The following is a 19,401-nucleotide window of genomic DNA, read 5'->3' on the forward strand; positions in this document are numbered from 1 at the left end:
GATAAGGCAACATCTAATCTTTAAAAATCTATTTCTGCCAAAGTGCCAGACATAGATTAGATATGTGACTCCTTTGAAAAATAACACAGGTGGTTATTTAAATATGATTATGAAATCAAATATACAAGAAGTTATATTCACATTTTACTCAATTAAAAAGTACAGTATCACACACAAAAGTTGAGGTTGACTCAACCTTAGGCCCCTCGATCTGCTGGGATTTATTAGTGTCTTCCTTTTGAGTTTCTATAGCTGTAGGCAGCAATAATTTTAGGGTAAAGGTAGTTCAGAGTAGTTTTCCTGAAGACTTTCTTATTCTCCCTTGCCTATTTACCATAATCCCAGTGCAGCAACACTTTATACTCAGTAGGTACTTAATGAACATATACAAACATCACTAAACACACTCCATCCCCAACACATGATAAGAACAAAGAAAAAGAGCCTCAGGATCTCCAAAAAGCTGCTTCCTACAAGAATAACAACAGTATTAGCTAACAGCTATATAAAGCACTATTCCAAGTACCAGGCGCTGTTCCTGGTACTTTATGAATGAATTCATTTAGTCCTCAAAACAATCCTATGAGGTAGGGGTTACCTTTATTCCCCAAACACAGGAAGAAAAAAACTAATTAATGCCCAGAGAAACTAAGGCTCAGAGCAGTTAAGTACAGATGCTCCTTAACTTACGATGGGGTCACATCCCGATAAACCCAACCTAAGCTGAAAATATCCCAAGTCAAAAGTATGTTTTCGACTTACAATATTTTCACCTTATGATGGGTTTACTGGAATGTGATTCCATCACAAGTTGAGGAGTGTACTGAATGTGTATCGCTTTCACACCACTGTAAATGTGAAAAATCCTAAATCAAATCATTGTAAGTCAGGGACCATCTGTACTTGCTTGATGGTGGTAACTCCTAAGAATTAAACTTCAACTTAAAAACTCCATCAAGGATTTTAAGCTGACTAAATGAAAATAAACAAAATAAAAGTGACAATGATGAAAAAGCTATCATTTATTGAGTGGTGTGTCAGTACTTCTTTAATACAATCCTCAAAAATGACCCTAAAAATTACGCATTGTTATTTTCATTTTACAAATCAAAGTAATGGGCAAAGAGAAAGTTCTTGCCCAAGGATATTGACTAGAAATCAGCAGAGCCAAGATATGAACGCAGTTTTGTAGAACTCCAAAGCCTGGTTTTTTTCCACTATGCCAGTATCTCCCAAATTTCAGACCCTTGCATACCACCTTCACAAATTCTGCCATGTTCATGGACCACTTGCACTATTATGTACTTAGTATTTTTTCTTTAAATGAGACACTTTTTTAAAGTTAAACTTATTTTAAAAGAAACTTTGTATCATGTATAAATGGAAAATTCTACTTCACTTGAAATAGAGATAAAAAATATATATTCAATGAAAACAAAACTGTAATTTCAGCCAAACACCACTGTCTGCTAAATGTGCTTACAGCCACATCAAGGCCTATCTGTCCTTTATTAAAAGAAGAGAGCAAATAATATGAGAACGGTGTTAAAAAAAAATTTTACTAGCCCCAAGCTGCAACTTTCTCCATGAATAATCAGATGTGACAAACAACAAAAAAGAGAACAGCTTCTTCACTATGTGCAAGAATTGGGTACACATCTCACTCTTTGGGGAACAAAACATAAGGCTGCTCTACTGCCTCTCCTTGATTCAAGTACACACCCGTATCTGCAGTCTTTCATGTATTCTCAATATTGTATAGAATGTGCTAACACTGAATTGCAGACTGGTTATTATACCTAGTAGCATTATAGAAACATCTCATCAAAATCTTCTTTTAAGTACTTACATACAATGTTGAAAATATACACTTGGCCCTGGGAGGAAAACAAAATTTTAACACAGAACCCTTTTTCTTAAAAACTTTCTGCCCTAGTTGCAAACAACACACAATCTATGATACAAAGCTGTAATTTTTTTTTTTTTTTTTTTTTTTTTTTTGAGATAGCTCTCGCTCTGTCTCCCAGGTCTGTCTTCCAGGCTGGAGTGCAGTGGTGCAATCTCGGCTCACTGCATCCTCAACCTCCTTAGTTCAAACCCCTTCTGCCTTAGCCTCCTGAGCAGCTAACAGGCACACACCACTGCAGCTGGCCAATTTTTTTTTTTTTTTTTGGTAGAGATGGGGTCTCACTATGTTGCCAAGGCTGGTCTCAAACTCCTGGGCTCAAGTGATCCATCTGCCTCGGCCTCCCAAAGTGCTGGGATTACAGCCATGAGCCACCGTACCCAGCAAGGCTGTAATTTTAAGCATCAAAATGGTTGGCAACCTGAGCACAAGCTTTGCCATCGCATGAAACTGAATTTGAATCCCAGCTCATGTTGCACATGCAGCCTCTCTGTAGCTCAAGGTTTCTCAGTTGAAAAACTGAAATAATACATATCTCTAAATGTAAAGTTAAATATATGTCAAATAGCTTGATGTCTGGTCCATTATAGGTGCTATATAATTAGTACTTGGCCCCTGTAAGAATTAAATAAAGAAAGAGGTTACTGTGAATTGGGATTTTTTTTTTTTTTTTTTTTTTTTTAGTAAGTACCTCATCTCTAGACCTTAAAGAATGGGCAGTTTTTTGGTCAGTCAAAACAAGAGAGGCAATCCTATTCGGGGTGCCAGTAGGTCAATGCAAGGACTGTAGTGGTGGCTAGGTGGTACACTGAAGCTAGATGATGAAGGCTCTAAATGCCACACTAATTTTCACTGAACATTTCTGAAGAGTAGCATATAATTTATAATTCACTAATCTATTCTTCAGCAATCACAGAAAAGCTTAAGATTTAGGAGGCCACTATAGTAGTTCATCAATGAGGTGTTCAGAGCTTGGATTAGAGTAACACTAAGAACAGAAAAGAACGATTGGCTAAGTCCTTTCAAAGAGAATCTGAAGGACTTTGTAAGTTGGATAGATGGAAAAGAGGAGTCAAAGCTGACTCCAAAGAAGACAGTAGGAAGACAATCAGGACGTTAAAGACAGAGTATTTCAGCTCCACGATGAACAAGAAGAGACAATATCCACCAAGAAGTGATTCACTGCCAGTTGCAAGGGAAGTGAAAGGTCACTGGATTTGGTGATCAGGATAACAATGAACTTTAAGAATATCTTAAAAAAAAAAAAAAGGAGGGGGAATATAAAAGTTAAATTACACCAAGCACAGTGGCTCACACCTAAAATCCCAGCACTTTGGGAGGCCAAGGCAGGCAGATTGCTTTTAAGCTGAGGAGTCCGAGACCAGCCTGGCCAACATGGCGAAACCCTATCTCTAATAAAAATACCCAAAAAAAGGCCGGGCATGGTGGTGCACACCTGTAGTCCCAGCTACTCGGGAGGCTGAGGTGGGAGGATCGCTTAAGCTCAGGTAACAGAGGTGCAGTGAACCAAGATCGTGCCATTGCACTCCAGCTTGGGTGACAGAGCAAGACCCTGTCTCAGAAGATAAATCAGCAAATAAAAATAAAAGTTAGATTACTAGTGCTTAAGAACAGGCCAGGGTACAGGCAGTAGAGAAGAAATCAGGTCATTTGTTATTTGGCAGTAAAAGGAAGAAGAAAAATAGGAAGGCAGCTAGATGGGTGTGCAAGGTCAAATGAGTAACACCAGAAGCAAAAAGGAACATTATGTAGAAAATAACCATGAAACAATACAATTAGTAACTATGACAATTCCCTTTTTGCCATTTGTTAAGTGCTAGTGAGAAACAGTAAGTTTGGATTCACTCCAGAATCAAATCTTAGAGGGAAATGTACTTAGGGAAGTAAAAGATTTCTCTCAGGGTTCAAAACTGTGGGTGGTAAACAGAAAAAAATCTAACCATAAGCTCCCTTCCACCAGCCATTAATTCTTTAGTGTTCTGAATGAAGGCACAGAATACAGTGGGTCATTAGCTTTCAAAGTTTTAAGATCTGCAGTTTCTACTATTCCTATGAGATAATGACAAGTAGTACAATCTGTAATTCTGACGTGGCACATGTCTCAGTGGACTGTGCTAGGGAATGTGTGAAATCCTGTGAGTGTACCATGACTCAACCCAGCACCCTCATCTCTAAATTGACTTGTGGGCCTCCACTTGCAGCCAGGCACACTGGAACTCTGTAGAAGTTTTGCCTCATTATATTTTATGAAAAAAAAAAGTATACGCTATAGTGCCAAGGTGTCCAGATTCTACCATAATTTATTTCTTTAGTTGCCAATAAATTATCAGTTTTTAAAAAATGTCTTACAATTACTCTGCTATAGATAAAAAAAAGTGGGGGTAGGTAAGGGAAAAAGATCCTGAAAGGGAGGGAGGGGAAAGCAGCAATGTCTTGTCAGCAAAGCAGCGAAGTCAGAGCTCAGAGAATTCTGTGCTATTGTTCTGTTCTTACTGCCTCCTTCTCTTCTCATGCCCAGAATGTTGATTGGGGTGGGGAGAGAGTACCCATAGTGCTAGGCAGTGGAACATCCAAGGCTTGAAGCTTCACCACCCCCACTTTTCACTTCCCTGGGTGAGGAGCCCAGAATTGCTTTAAGTCATCATCCCAATCACGTCTATGAATGCACAGCCAAGCAGGGCTAAGCAAATGGCTTGCCCTAAAAAGCTGCCGATGTTTTCTAAACATCTATTATGTGTTTTTGCTGTTCTGCACATCAAGAAAGAAAAGAAATCTGAGTTTTATTCACAACTTGCTCACAATATTGCTGGGATATAGAGATACTGGAGAAGCAGCCAAGCAATGGCATATACACACCAAGCAACAGCATAAATGAACAAAAATCAATACAGTACAAAACATATACAAAAGGATAGGCAGGAGGGAAACTGGTCTCAGTGAGAGTGAAGTTGTTCAAATTAATTTCCAAAACCTACAAAAGTCAATTAAGCCATGTTTTGAAAAGGGGGGCGGAATAAGCACGAAAGTGAGGAGAGAGTCCTGTAGCTGAGGGAAGTTACATGATAAAAAAGAATAGATAAAGAACAAGTAAAAGCTGTGTGAGAAACAGAAAAACAGATCTGCTGGGAAGGAACACACAGTCCCTATTAGGAGAATAATCAGAAACAAGCCTGTGAGATGTAGCAGTGAGTTGGTAGAAGCTTTTAAGGCTGATTACGCATGACTAATCAGATTTGAAATGCTCTCTGTTATCACCATTCATTTTATGGGAATGCTATACCTTCCCTCCAAAAGAGTTAACTAAATTAAATGAGAAACTCCACTGACCTGTTTTCTTATTTAGACTACATGCTTGTCTACCACTGCTTACTCACTGTCAAGTTCAACAATTGAAAATTATGCCTCTGCAGGGCAGAGAAATACATGTGAGTTTACTACTAAAGTGACCCACAATACCACTAAAAAAAAAAAAAAAAAAATTTAAGAGAACAGCCTTGAAGTAACGATTGCTTAAAGTTATTAGCAAGCATGCTCAGTGTTTGACTAGCATCACCTGACCAACTTTAAAAGTATTAACGAGAATATTCACAGGCTAATTGAAAGCACTATGCAGTCTGGTCTCAGAGTTCCATACTGCTGAAAAAAACTCATTAATTATAATTTGGAATTTTTTAAGTGGTATGATAAAATGAAGAGGCTAGGCTAGCACCCATCAATGTACTGATGAGGAATGAAGTTCTAAAGCACCAACTAAGCAGTCTAATAGGTTTTGAGTGAGTGCCTAACAGGAACAAAGTGATAATAAAGGAAACAAACAAGGCTAAAACTTACCCTCAAATTTTTTGCCACCTATCAAGGGAAACAGATACACAGGAAGAATAACCTAAAGTACAAATTGTATACAAGTGCAAACATACAGAATAGAGTTGGGAGACTACAGAAGGAGGGGTTATCTGGTTGGGATGATTAGGAAAAAGTTCAAGTAGGATGTCAAACTAAAAAACAAAAAACACATGGTATTTTAAGTGAAAGTTCAAAAATTATTTCAAAGACCTTTCTAATTCATGAAAGATGATACAACATTCTAGAGATATAACTTGATGATTCAGATTTAGGTAAGTAAGCCTGTGATAAAAATTATGAAGGAAACCAAATAATGAGTTAGTCTGTAAATATCTCAATGTAGAAAAGAATTCATCATAGGAAGAATTTGCTCTGGATCCCAAGAAAAAATACAGTAAGTTTAATAAAACCTCAGCCAATATATAAAGACTGTAAAAAATTCTACTGGGAATCAGTCAAAGTCTGAATAAGAAAACATTTTTGAAGGAGTAATACACAAGCGTGTCAGAAAGTAATCTGACTTTCACTCTTAAGCCCCCATGAAACATACAGAGTGTAGTAGTTTAAAGCAGAACTACTTAAATCCCAGCTCAATGACTTACTAGCTGTGTAATCGTAGAGAAGTTACTTATCCTCTGTGTCATTTTAAAAATAGAGATAATAAACTGTATCCACTTCAGATCATTGAAAGTAAAATGAATTATCATATATAAAGGGCCACAAACAATGCTGATGTAGTAGGCACTACATCAGCATTAATTATTACTATCATTTGAATTGGCTGGCAATGTATATTAAGGTTAGAGATAAGCAAACATATTTTTGGGGAAAAAAGATAAATCATGTTCACTCATTCAACAAATATTCACTACTGACAATGTGCCAGGAATACAGTCAGGAAGCAGACAGGCACAGTGACCCCTTGGAGCTTAGAAGATTCAGTTTTCCAGGACAGGAACCATGTCTCCTTCACTCACCTCTGCAAACCCAGTGCCCTAGGTACATACCCTGGAGCACAGCAGCTGTTGAATGGTGTTTGCTGAATTAATGAAAGGTGTAATTATAGGGTATTAAATTGAAAAAAAATTCTGAATATATGGAGAATAGGAATTCAACAGATCCATCCCCTGAACGAATGGTACAGCAATGCCACAGGATAACTAAACCTCAAGAAATCTGTCTACAAACCTTCAAGAATCTATCAATTCTTGAATATCGTAAGAGCATGCACTTTCCTATTAATAAAAAATAATGAAATGGCACGCTTATTACAAGGATTAAATGAGATCCTGTGTTACATGAGAATCACAAAGCTGCAATGAGATGCTGATGTGAAGAGGTAGGCTAGATTCTTCAGCTCCAAGCCTCACTCCTCAGCTAAATACAATGACTATGTGTCCAGGTGTTTAGGGGTTGTTTATACAAATAGCTAAAACCTCTTATATTAAATGTCCAAATGTGTTTTGGGTTTAAAATGTAAGGTGCCTTTGGGTTTAATATCTAAGATTCAAGTCTTTGGAGGCTGACCTAATTTCAGATGAAGAGACATTATACTTCCACACCCATATGGCCTTCCTAACAGTTTCAAGAAAGTTTCAGAAAACTCCTGAGGTCTTAAGTGAAAACAGAAACCGAAATCTCTGGGACAATATCAGAGTTAATTAACTCTGAAAGGATATTTCAAATATACAGACTTTAAGGCCGGACATGGTGGTTCACGCCTGTAATCCTTGCTTGAGTCCAGGAGTTTAACAACAGCTAAAAAATACAAAAATTAGCTGGGCATGGTGGCATGTGCCTGTAGTCCTAGCTACCTGGGAAGCTGAGATGGGAGGATCTCTTGAGCCTGGGAGGTTGAGGCTGCAGTGAGCCGTGATAATGCCATGCCACCACACTCCAGCCTGGGTGACAGAGTGAGACCCTGTCTCAAAAAAAAAAAAAGTTAGGCTTGCATTCCTCATTTTTAGTGAATGGCCTCATTCAGGAACCACCACCAAGTCTGCACACGCTTCTAAAGCCACCTAGCTACTACTCTCAAGCTTTCAAATGCCCTCCTAACTCTGCTGCCCAGAAGGAATGAACATGGCATCACACTCAGCACATACAAAATCCACCACATTATCTTCTCCCCAAACCCCCTACTTTGCCCTCTGCTTCTTTATTTCCACGTTAATGGCATCACCATTCTATAGGCTCAAAACCTCAGAATCATTCTTTGAGTCCTCTAGTGCTAAACTTCACTTCAAGAGAGCAAACCCTCAAATTAATTATCCAGTGAAAGGGCAAAACAAAAGGCTTACTGACAGAATAGAAGGGTTGGGAAAGCATTATTAAGTTCACACAACAAAATCAACGAAAGGTATAAAGCTAGGTTTGAAGAACAACAGACAATTTTCTGTAGTATTAAAGCCAAGATTCCACAAATTCTGTGTTTTCTTCTATAGAGCAGAGCTTGAGTGAGTGAAACTTACTTGATAACCTTCTAAGAACCAGGCACTATCAGTTTGGTAGCATTAAAACTTCAGAAATGGCCAAGGCGGAGGATCACCTGAGGTTAGGAGTTCGAGACCAGCCTGGCCAACATGATGAAACCCCATCTCTACTAAAAAATACAAAAATTAGCTGGGCGCAGTGGCAGGCGCCTGTAATCCCAGCTACTCGAGAGGCTGAGGCAGGAGAATCACTTGAACCTGGGAGGCAGAGGGTGCAGTGAGTCGAGATTGTGCCATTGCGCTCCAGCCTGGGAGACAGAGCCAGACTCCGTCTCAAAAAAAATAAAAAAACCTTCAGAAATGGTATTAGCTTCAGTTTACAGACGAGGAAATGAAATCTCAAGAGAGGTTAAGTACTTACAAAAGATGAGAAGTTAATAAGCACTAACTGGAGATTCAAAATCTAGAACTGTCGTATTCCAAAGTCTATGCTATTTTGACTACACTCAATACTTGCTGACACAGAAAATTACTACGATGTTGTAATTACTTTTCTATGGAATATAATGAAGTGCTTCAGAAAAAATATGCATTCTTCTAAATCAGCTATTAATATACAGTATCAATAAACACTTTGAAGTCAAACCTATGATCCTTCCAGTCACAAATGAGACACCAAAAAAAAACTAGTATACTCTTAGTTTCCAGACAATGATTTCTTGTTTCAAGGATATAGATATTTCTATTTCCACGTACAACATTTTGCATAACCCATGGACAAAAAGAAGCAATAATCACTTCATGCAATTTTTTTTTCTCCACAGGAACATGCTATTATAATTGTGAGGATTGGGACCAAGATCTAGCTCCTTATGCAAACTCAGATTGAATACAGCTATTTCAAAATACAAAGACACCAAATCAGTCCCTTTAAGTAACATTAGAATGGCCCACAAAAAGATTCATGATAGTGACGGTGATTATTCCAGTGGACAAAGCAACCCAAAATAGTCCTGTAGACTGAAACTACTATTTCATTAAAATTATTACTTGTCAGTCATGACTACTTCAAACTTGCATTATTCTTTGAGGTATTATATTTCTATAATTTCCCATAATATTAAGATATCTGAGTTAAGTGTACAAAAATTCATCATACCACCAAAGGTCAATAGATGGAAACTGGTCTTCATTCTAAATCATATTATTTTTAGCCCCTTCTAAGGTCAATAAATAATGTACTTGTAAAATAACACATATAAAGCACGCAGAGCGGTCCCTGTCACACAGAACAGTGAATAAATGTTAGCTTGATGCTAATGTAATGTAATGTAAATATACTCAGTTCTAATGAATCTTGGAAGATGAGATATGGCAATCTCCTCTACACATAAAAATCTATCAGTACATCATCTTTCAAAATTTAAATCCTTTATCAAAATGCCAGATTACATTATGCTGAAGTTTTGTAATTAAACTATGTAAGCAGTACACAGTCCTTCATTCTCCACCACATTCAACCTTTACATTCCCCAAGATGACTATTTTGTAATTTTTAATTCATAGCTTTGAGGTATAATTTATACACCATAAAATTCAACCATCATATGTGTACAATTCATTGAGTTTTAAGAAAATTATACAGTGTATAGAGCACTATCACTACAATCTAATTTTAGAATTTTTCTATCACCCAAGTATTTTCCTCCATACCATTTCTCTTGCTCTGGCCTGATGCAACCACTAATCTGCTATATCTCTATAGATTTGCTTTTTGTAGACAGTCCATATAAATGTAACCACACAATATGTACTCTTTTGTATTTGGTTTGACAGTTAGCATGTTGTTATTACAGATGAGGTCTTGCTCTGTCACCCAGGCTGGAGTGTACTGGCGTGAACACAGCTCACTGCAGCCTCAAACACCTGGGCTTAAGCTATCCTCTTTCCTCAGCCTTCCAAGAATAGCTTCAATGATATGCGGGTGCCATCACATTTAGCTAATATTATTTATTAATTTTTTGGGACAGGGTCTTGCTATATTGCCCAGAGACATGTTTTTGACATTCATGTTTGTTATAACATATATCACTAATTTGTTTCTTTTTTATTGCAGAATAGTTTTCCACATTTTATGTATTCAAACACCATGTGATGGATATTTGAATTGCTTTCCAGTTTTTGACTATTGTGAATAATGCTAACAGACATGTACATACCTTTCTTTATTTGTACAGGTATTTTCATTTCTCTTGGGCAGATTCCTAAGAGTGGAACTGCTGGTTGCTATGGCAAATTTATGCTTAACTTTTTAAGAAAAAGCCAAACTGTTTCCCAATGTGGCTGTGTCATTTACAGTCCCAAGAAGTGCCTAAGGGTTCCAGTTTCTCAACAATACAAATACTAGGTATTGTCAGTCTTTTTAATTACAGCCACTCTGGTCAGTGTGTGATAGTATATCACTGTGATTTAATTTGCATTTCCCTAATGACTAATGGGGTTAACATCTTTTCATATGCTTATTGGCCATTCTTATTGTTGTCTTTGGTGAAATACCTATTCAATGGGCTTAAGCCTAAGAATGGGCTTTCGCCCAGTTTTTTTTTTTTCCTTATAAGTGAGTTGTAAGATTTTTCAAATATATTCTAGATTAAAGACCTTTACCATGTTTATAATATGCAAATATTTCTCCCCAATCTGTGGCTTATCTTTTTATACTTTCTTAAGTATCTTCTCAATTGTAAAAGTTTTAAAAATATTTAATAAAGCCCAATTATTTGTTTCTTTTCCTTTTCTTTTTTTTTTTTTGAGACAGGGTCTGGCTCTGTTGCCCAGGCTGGAGTCCATTGGCGCAATCTCGGGTCTCTCTGACCTCTGCCTCCCTGACCTCTGCCTCCCAGGCTTAAACCATCCTCCTGCCTCAGCCTCCCAAGTAGCTGGGACCACAGGTGCACACCACTATACCCAGCTAATTTATTTTATCTTTTTTTTTTACAGGCAGGGGTCTCCCTATGTTGCCCAGACTGGTCTCAAACTCCCGGGCTCAAGTGATCTGCCCGCCTCAACCTCACAAAGTGCTAGGATTACAGGCATAAGTCACTGTGCCCAGCCCTGTTTTGTAGTTTTAAATACAAAAATCTTGGTGACTCTTTTCTTAAGTTTATTCCCAAGTATGTTAGGCCTCTTTGAAGCTAATGTGAATGTATTTTTTTCTTACTTTCATATTAAGATTTTATGTTACTACTACACTGTTAATCCTGCCTCAGTTTGTAGAAAACAAATAAAAGCCATTAGGCCAGAACATCCTCCCACTAAATCTATATTCCACCCACTAAATCTATATTCCTACTTGCGTCTGTAACCATGTTGTTCTTTCTTCCCCACTGTTAAAACTGAGGAAGTGGCCGGGCACGGTGGCTCATGCCTGTAATCCCAGCACTTTGGGAGGCCAAGGCAGGCAGATCACGAGATCAGCAGTTCGAGACCAGCCTGGCCAACATGGTGAAACCCTGTCTCTACTAAGAAGACAAAAATCAGCCAGGCGTGGTGGTAGGCACCTGTAATCCCAGCAACTCTGATGGCTGAGGCAGGAGAATCGCTTCAACCCGGGAGGCGGAGGTTGCAGTGAGCCAAGACCAGGCCATTGCACTCCAGCCTGGGCGACAGAGCGAGAATCCATCACAAAAAAAAAAAAAAAAACAAAAAAAAAAAACTGAAGAAGTATCCCCTTCCTATCAAAGGACTCTGTGCAGTCAGGATCCTGACCACTCCTGCTTTCTCAAGGACTTCTCATCTCCCTTATCTTAGCAATCCTAACAACTAAAATCATTCTGCAGAATTTCTCACACTCAAAAAGAAACAAACAAAAAGATTTCCTTTATATCCTCATACATCTCTAGCTTCTACCCTGTATCTATTCCCTTTCATAGGTAAACTTCTTTAAAAGCTATCTATACACCCTGTCTCTAGTTCCTCAGCCATCATTTATCCCTCAAATCACTCAAATCTGGCATCCATCTACACTAGTCCATGAAACTGGCTCACTGAAGTTACTAATAACTTCCAGGTTGCCAAATCCAATGGCCACATTCCTGCCCACATGTTCTCAGCCTCTCAGTGAAATTCAATACAGCTGACTACCCACCCCCTTGAAATACTTGCATTATTTGGCATCCACGACATGATAATACTATATATTACACATTCCCAATTTGTACCACTCTGATTGTGTGCTTCCTAGCGTCCTTCCAAGAAGCCTTCCAGTTTACCCAACTTAGAAATGTTCAGCATTCCTCAGGATTCCAGTTCTAGTCAATCTTTCTCTCTTCTTTATAATCTTTTCTTCAATTATTTCATTACCTTAAGTATCACTAACATAGTGACAATCTTCAAACTGACATCTCTAAGCCAAGTATCTCTGAATTCCTCAAGATGTATAGATCTCTCTAACAGGCCTACTTGACAATCTTACAGGCTTCTGAGAACTAAGATAGACAAAAGGGGAACTGCTGAATTCACCCTTACCTCTCCCACGAAACAATCCCCCCCAAAATCCACTCCTCTTCCAACCATCCAATAGTGGCAACTTCCAGCAACATCCTTGAGTTCTTTCCCCTCCCTTATGTTCCATATCCAACCCTATTTATGCCTTCGTATTTCTACCACCTAAAAAATTCTCACAGATGTCCACTGCTCTCTATCCTACTGCCACCTCGCTAATCTAAGCCATTGCTGTCTGCTGCCTGGACTGTTGCATATCCACTAGCGTATCTGCTTCCACTTGCCCCCAGTATTCTTTTTGCTCATACAGCAGTCAGCATGATCTTTTAAAATATAATTCAGATGATGCTACACCCCCGAATAAAAACTTTTAGTATATTTCCACTAAAATCCAAATTCCTTATCACTGAGTACAAGGGCCTGCCTTATGCAGTCCCTGCCATTCTCCCCTCTTGTCCACAGTTTCAGTTCCTTAAACACACTGTGCTCTTCACAGCCTCAGGCCCTTCCCAGTTCTCTCTATATGAAACACCTTATTCTCCCTCCCCTGACCCCCCATCCAGGCATCCTCTAAGGGGCCTTCCCTTACACCTAAGTAGGTCCCCACTACCTCCTCTGATTCTACCACCCAATGATTCTCTATTATTGTACACAGTTCTTTTTTCCTTTTTTTTTTGTGGGTGGGGCGGGGGGGGGGGGGAACGGAGACTTGCTCTGTCACCCAGGCTGGAGTGCAATGACACTACTATGTTTACTATGTCTCATTGCAGCCTCAACTTCCCAGGCTCAAGTGATCCTCCTGCCTCTGCCTCTCAAGTAGCTGGGACTACAGGTGCAGGCCACCACGCCTGGCCAGTTCTTTTTCTTTTCGACATTGGCACAAGTCAGAGAAGATGTCTTGATCCTTCACCACTGCATGTATACCCCCAATACAAAGAACAGCCACAAAGAAGTCTTTGTTGAAAGTATTTAAAACTGATTTAAGACAGAAGTGTTTAGCATTTCACAGGTCAGCCTGCTCTTCCTTAAAACTGAATTAATGTAGAAGTCCATAAGATGAGCTTGACTCAATTAGGGGAAGGCTGGAAATCACAAATTAAGTGCAAAATTCTGTGGAACTATGTTTTCTAAGCAGATGTCCAGTGCGTGCAGCAGAATCTCAACGGAATCAACAGCCCAAAAGAGACAGACTAATAAATTCTGTCTTCATTATTTAATGAGACAGACCCCAAATTCAACACCTGGCTAATTCTTGAAACAAAATGCAGAAGAGATGTAGTATTCTTAATTTTAAAAAGCCTAAGTCTTAGAATTTATCAAATCTCAATGAAATCTGGTATACAGTTTAACTTCCATTAGACAAATTTCTTACACAGAGGGAAAAGATGAGTGAAGATGCATCTATAATAGGAAAGGCTACAGAAAATAAAACCTATATAAGGGAAAACATCAGAAATGACAAGTCTTATCACCCATTTCAAATTCTCACGACCTTGAAGAACTAAGCACCCATGGATTTATGACCCTTTCATCAGTTTCCTCTTGTATATATCTCCTCTTTGTATTCCTCAAAGAATGTCAAATAATCCTGTTCCAGTGTCAAGATAGTGGAGCAACTAACCACAAGACTTTGTGCTACTTTTAAAGGGGTGTGGCTGGAATAGATTAGCCGCTCCTACACAAAGATACTCTCATTTGAGTCAGAAATCATGAAAACCCAATCCCATAGCTATATCAGACATTCTGTGATTTGTTCAGGGTTACAAAGTTAGCTGATGCCAGAACTGGAACTTGCCTCCCACAGTTAGTGCTCTTTATACCAGCTTCTCATGCTCTTGTGTCGCTCCATCAAATGTTTGGCACGAATTCCCAATATACTAAAACTCTAACTCTGGGCTATTGATTAAAACAAACAAACAAACAAACAAAATGACTGAAACTAGCACAAGAAACTCAAGAAGACAGAAATTTTAAAAGTAAATAAATAGGACACTACAGAAACACATTGACTGTGACTTCTTTCACAAACAGTATCTTTTTCAACTGTGTATAGGTAAGTGATTATGGCAAGATTATTTCTGTAGTTTATTACAATTATTTTAGTGATTCAGAACTAAAAACCACTACTCCAGAATAACAAACCTGAGACTTATTAAGTTTATAACTTTCAACACAGAAATGAGCTCTGCTTTCCTATTTTTAAACTTATCACTAATGCCAGATCTTGTAATTGATTTAAACAAGTTTCAAGACAAAAACAAAATGGTTTGTTTCACTGTTATTGCTTTTCCCCATTAAATTTATGTGTTATGCAAATATTCTAACAAGATATTGCTCTACACAAATGATCTAAAGATTTTCAGCTTCATTAACAGGGTACATTGCTTACAAACCTCAATGAAAGAACAGTTAGTACTAGAACCCTTTATCAATCTATTATGCATTCAAAGTCTGTATGAAGTTTTAAGACATTTCCCAAAACAGAAGCTTTTGGTAAAAGCTAAGAAAACATTCTGATTAGTGTGGTAAATAGTATATCTTTCCTAATCTTTAAAAAACAAAATAAACTACTTTGGGAAAAGCTGACTTTTAAGCCACAACACTGAATATTTTCTTGCTCGGCAGACAGCAAAATTCCTCATGATTAAATCCTATGAGCCAGATTTTTCTCCCCCTCATCTTGCTATTATGTGGCATGGAGCATAATTTTACAAAGCATGCACTCCTTCACTTTGTCTATTGACATTCTGTCTTCAAAAACAAACTCTTAAACTCAGAATAGATTTTCCTCTGCTATTCAAAAGCAACTGTAATGAACACACCTTAAAACATCTGACAGTGGTAATAAAGAAAAATTGTATTTGTGTGTGCCCTGAACACCAACTACAAGAATCTCCCTCTTTCTCTGAAGTGGCTGTGTTTCAAGACATCATCATACATTAAACTACTTACTACGCAAAGGAGTAAGTTGATACGTAACACAAAATCAGATATTCTAAAATCCCTACTGTTCATAAGAACTATGGGGAAGTCAAAATCAGACCAACTGAATTTTATTCCTCACCCTGCTCCCAAACCACATGACCAGAGAAGGTAAGAGCTGGGACGTGAATAATAGTAAGGGAGAGATACGAATATTCACAAATAAATTATTTAACTTATCTGCTATCAAGTTCTTAGTGAACAAGAATAAGCCTGTAATCCCAGCACTCTGGGAGGCTGAAGTGGGCAGATCACAAGGTCAGGAGTTCAAGACCAGCCTGGCCAATATGGTGAAACCCCGACTCTACTAAAAATACAAAAATTAGCCGAGTGTGGTGGTGGCGCATGCCTGTAGTCCCAGCTACCCAGGAGGCTGAGGCAGAAGAATCGCTTGAGCCTGGGAGGTGGAGGTTGCAGTGAGCCGAGATTGCACCACTGCACTCCAGCCTGGGCAACAGAGCGAGAGACTGTCTCAAAAAATAAAAATAAAAATAAAAATAAACAAGAATAACACCCACTTCACAAGGTTGTTGCAAGAATCAAATGAGTTCTTCCATGAAAATGATTTGCCTGGTTAAAGGAACATAATAGGCACTCGATAAATGCCAGCTCCTTCCTCGTTTGGTTCTGGACTCGGTGTTATTTGTTCTCTACACTCATGCCCCCAGATGACTCAGTCTCCTCCTAACTTTTACTAACAAACACCGAAAACTACTGTACCAACCAAGGTCCTGATATGTATGTGCATGCCCAGTCTATGTGACACTGTCTCCCGTCCCTAAACACTTAGGTGAGCAAAACAGAGGAAGAAATCCCGAACCTCTGAACCTGAACTGCTGTAAGAACCAGCAGTTGGGGTGGACAAATCTCCACCCACTTCCCACTGTCTCCAAGAGATCTGAATTGCCATCTAAGAATGTCTGAAACCAAACTCATCATTGTCTCTTTTAAAAAGTAAGCCCTCTTCCTGCCCCTTTTCTAACTGTGAGTGGTGTCCAAAGAATAATCCTTGCCCCACTGTATTCTCACCAAAACACTGCCAAATAACCCAGGCCTATCACGTTTACCTTCATAATCTCTACCATCTCTCTCTCTCTCTTTTTTTTTTTTTTTTTTTGAGACAGCGTCTTGCTCTGTCATCTAGGCTGGAGTGCAGTGGCGCGATCTTGGCTCACTGCAACCTCCTCCTCCTCCCAGGTTCTAAGTGATTCTCCTGCCTCAGCCTCTGGAGTAGCTGGGATTACAGGCATGCGCCACCACATGCGGCTAATTTTGTATTTTTAGTACAGAAAGGGTTTCACCATGTTGGCCAGGTTGGTCTCCAACTCCTGACCTCAGGTGATCCACCTGCCTCAGCCTCCCAAAGTGCTGGGATTACAGGCATGAGCCACTGTGCCCGGCCCATATCTGATTTTTTGTCCCACTCCCACCACTATAGTCCAGGTTAGGGTTTCTCAGTCTCAGCACTATTGACATCTTGGGCACATAATGCTTGTGGAGGCTGTCCTGTGCACTGCAGGATGTTTAGCAACATTTCTGGCCTCTACCCACTAGATGCCAGTAGAACTGCTCTCTCCCCTCTAGTTATGACAATCAAAATGTCTCTAGACACTGCCAAATGCCTCTTCCCCATTGTCACCTTCATTCCCATGTTTGAGTACCACTGGCCCAGTTTCTCACTTCGTATCTGCCATACAAAATCAGCCCCCAAGTTAAGTCTACAGTTTTATTCCTCTAATTCCTGTGGCCCTGACAAACGACTCCTAAAGCACTGCTTTATGAGTCATTTCTCTTAAATCTACCACTCCCTGTTACCTACACAATTAGTTCAAAGCTCTCCATCCAACCTTGATAATCTGGCCTCAATTAAACATTATTCCACAAAGCACCTCATATAGTGGCTACCCAGCAGTCCTTCAATAACATATCCAGTCTCTCCCTTTCTATTCTACTGCTGTCACCCTGGTTGGATGTCCATGACCTAGCACCCAATCCAGACCACTGAAAGAGTGTCATTCCTTACCCTTTCTGCCACTCAAAGTCAAAAACTTTTCAATGGGTCTCCATTGCTTGCTGAAATATCGTTATCTGCTGCCCTTCTTCAGAGTCTTTCCCAATATGGCCTCTTTCTAATTTTATATTCTGTTATCCCGAAAACACTAGTCCTTGAAAAGGCTCCTACACTTTCCACTTCTGATCACTTTTCTCTGCCTGGAAGCCCTCATAATTCCATTCCCCTCACTCCACCCTAATTTAAAGTCCATCTGAATTAAGTCAAAAAGCCTTTCTTGGTCATACCTCCTTAGCATTTCATAACACTTGGCACCTCTCCTATGGCATACATTATACCTTATGTTATACATGAGCACTCCTATAATTGACAAGATCCTCAAGAGCTTCTTACTCCTCTTCTGATGCCTGCAATGCCTAGCCCAGTGTTAAGTAGAGAACTAAGCATTAGATATGAGCTGCCCCAAATGTTTCCCACTTAGAAAGCAATGGAGGACTGTGTTTTCAGACAATCCCAAACTCCCTTAAGGGAATTAAGCACATATTCTCCTTTTGTCTCATATTTCTATGTCTTAGACCAATTTTTAAGTAAATTGCCTTCAAGATATCTAGACTGCTATTTAGTATACATAACTGTAAGAGTTCTGCTCCAGGGAGTTCCAACTTGTAACTGAACCCTGAATATTTAAGCTCTCTCTTTATGCCAAAAGACAATGGAAATTTATTTTTTGAATGTTAATAAAATTGAGCAAAACATAAAAATAACTTGCACTGAATTAAACATGTTTGAAGTAAAGATTCATTAATGCTAATGTGTCTGTCCTAAAAATTACATTTCAAGTTCTAAAGTCTTTGTGTACCCATTAAAAAGATTGAAAGTTTTATTTCAACTCTTTCTCACCTCAAAGACAAACTAAAATAGAACAGAGAAGGCTTTTCCTTAATTTTATTTAGATCCTAACTTGAAGGTATACTTTGTTATTTCTTCAAAAGGAGCAAAAAGAGTATGATTAATGAGCATGTTCTGACCAGATCTCTAAGTCCTACTCCAAAGCTGTAACAGGAGAGTACCATAGACCACACTACCAGCACCCTTCGTTAGCAGACCACAGGCTTTGTTTTGTATCTCCCTGAGCTAAGAATGGCTTTACATTTTTGTGTTTTGTAAACACAAGAAGAAGAATATGCAACAGAGAGCATATGTGGCCAGCAAAGCCCAAAATATTTACTATTTGTCCCTTTTCAACAGGATGAATTTGGGACTCCTCGTTGCCCTTCACTGGCACGTAAGACATCCCACCTTTAAAAAAGCAATGTAAAACACAAGACCATTTAAAAAGATCGAACTCGTTCAACTTAGTCATAGTTAATGCAGACTTAACTTCTAAAACAGAGACCTGTGTGTGGACATTTTTATTCTTCACAGAATTTTTGTTGGAAGAAACTTGCCTTCATTCTGTGGATGAACATACTTATGCTTGAAAATGGAAAGTGCCTGACCCAAAGTCACACTGCTGGTTAACAGCAGAGTAGGGTCAAGGACCCAGCCTTCAAAACCCTGGTCCAATGCTTTGCAGTCCACTACATACACCTATACATGTGGCTTTAAATTTTGGAGATGTGGATAACTAGCTTGGATCAATATAAAAGATGAAAGCTTAAAACCTGTTCCTAACATACTGTTTAGACAGACTCCTACTAGCAGCT

The 19,401-nt window shown here is 38.9% G+C and overlaps 1 protein-coding gene across 13 annotated transcripts in view, besides 1 other annotated feature; it reads right to left on the bottom strand.

The window, feature by feature from the left end:
- REPS1 (RALBP1 associated Eps domain containing 1) overlaps positions 1-19,401 on the bottom strand; it is an 84,761-nt gene that overhangs the window by 63,804 nt on the left and 1,556 nt on the right. The gene's annotated exons all lie outside the window — the stretch shown is intronic.
- Positions 10,360-10,934: an enhancer, noted in NCBI's record as "OCT4-NANOG hESC enhancer chr6:139298793-139299367 (GRCh37/hg19 assembly coordinates)". NCBI's record gives its function as "activates a minimal SCP1, AML or CMV promoter by ChIP-STARR-seq in primed H9 embryonic stem cells {active_cell/tissue: H9 hESC(primed)}" and the evidence as "EXISTENCE:reporter gene assay evidence [ECO:0000049][PMID:30033119]".

The sequence above is a fragment of the Homo sapiens genome, chromosome 6, assembly GCF_000001405.40.
Source record: "Homo sapiens chromosome 6, GRCh38.p14 Primary Assembly".
Taxonomy (NCBI): domain Eukaryota; kingdom Metazoa; phylum Chordata; class Mammalia; order Primates; family Hominidae; genus Homo; species Homo sapiens.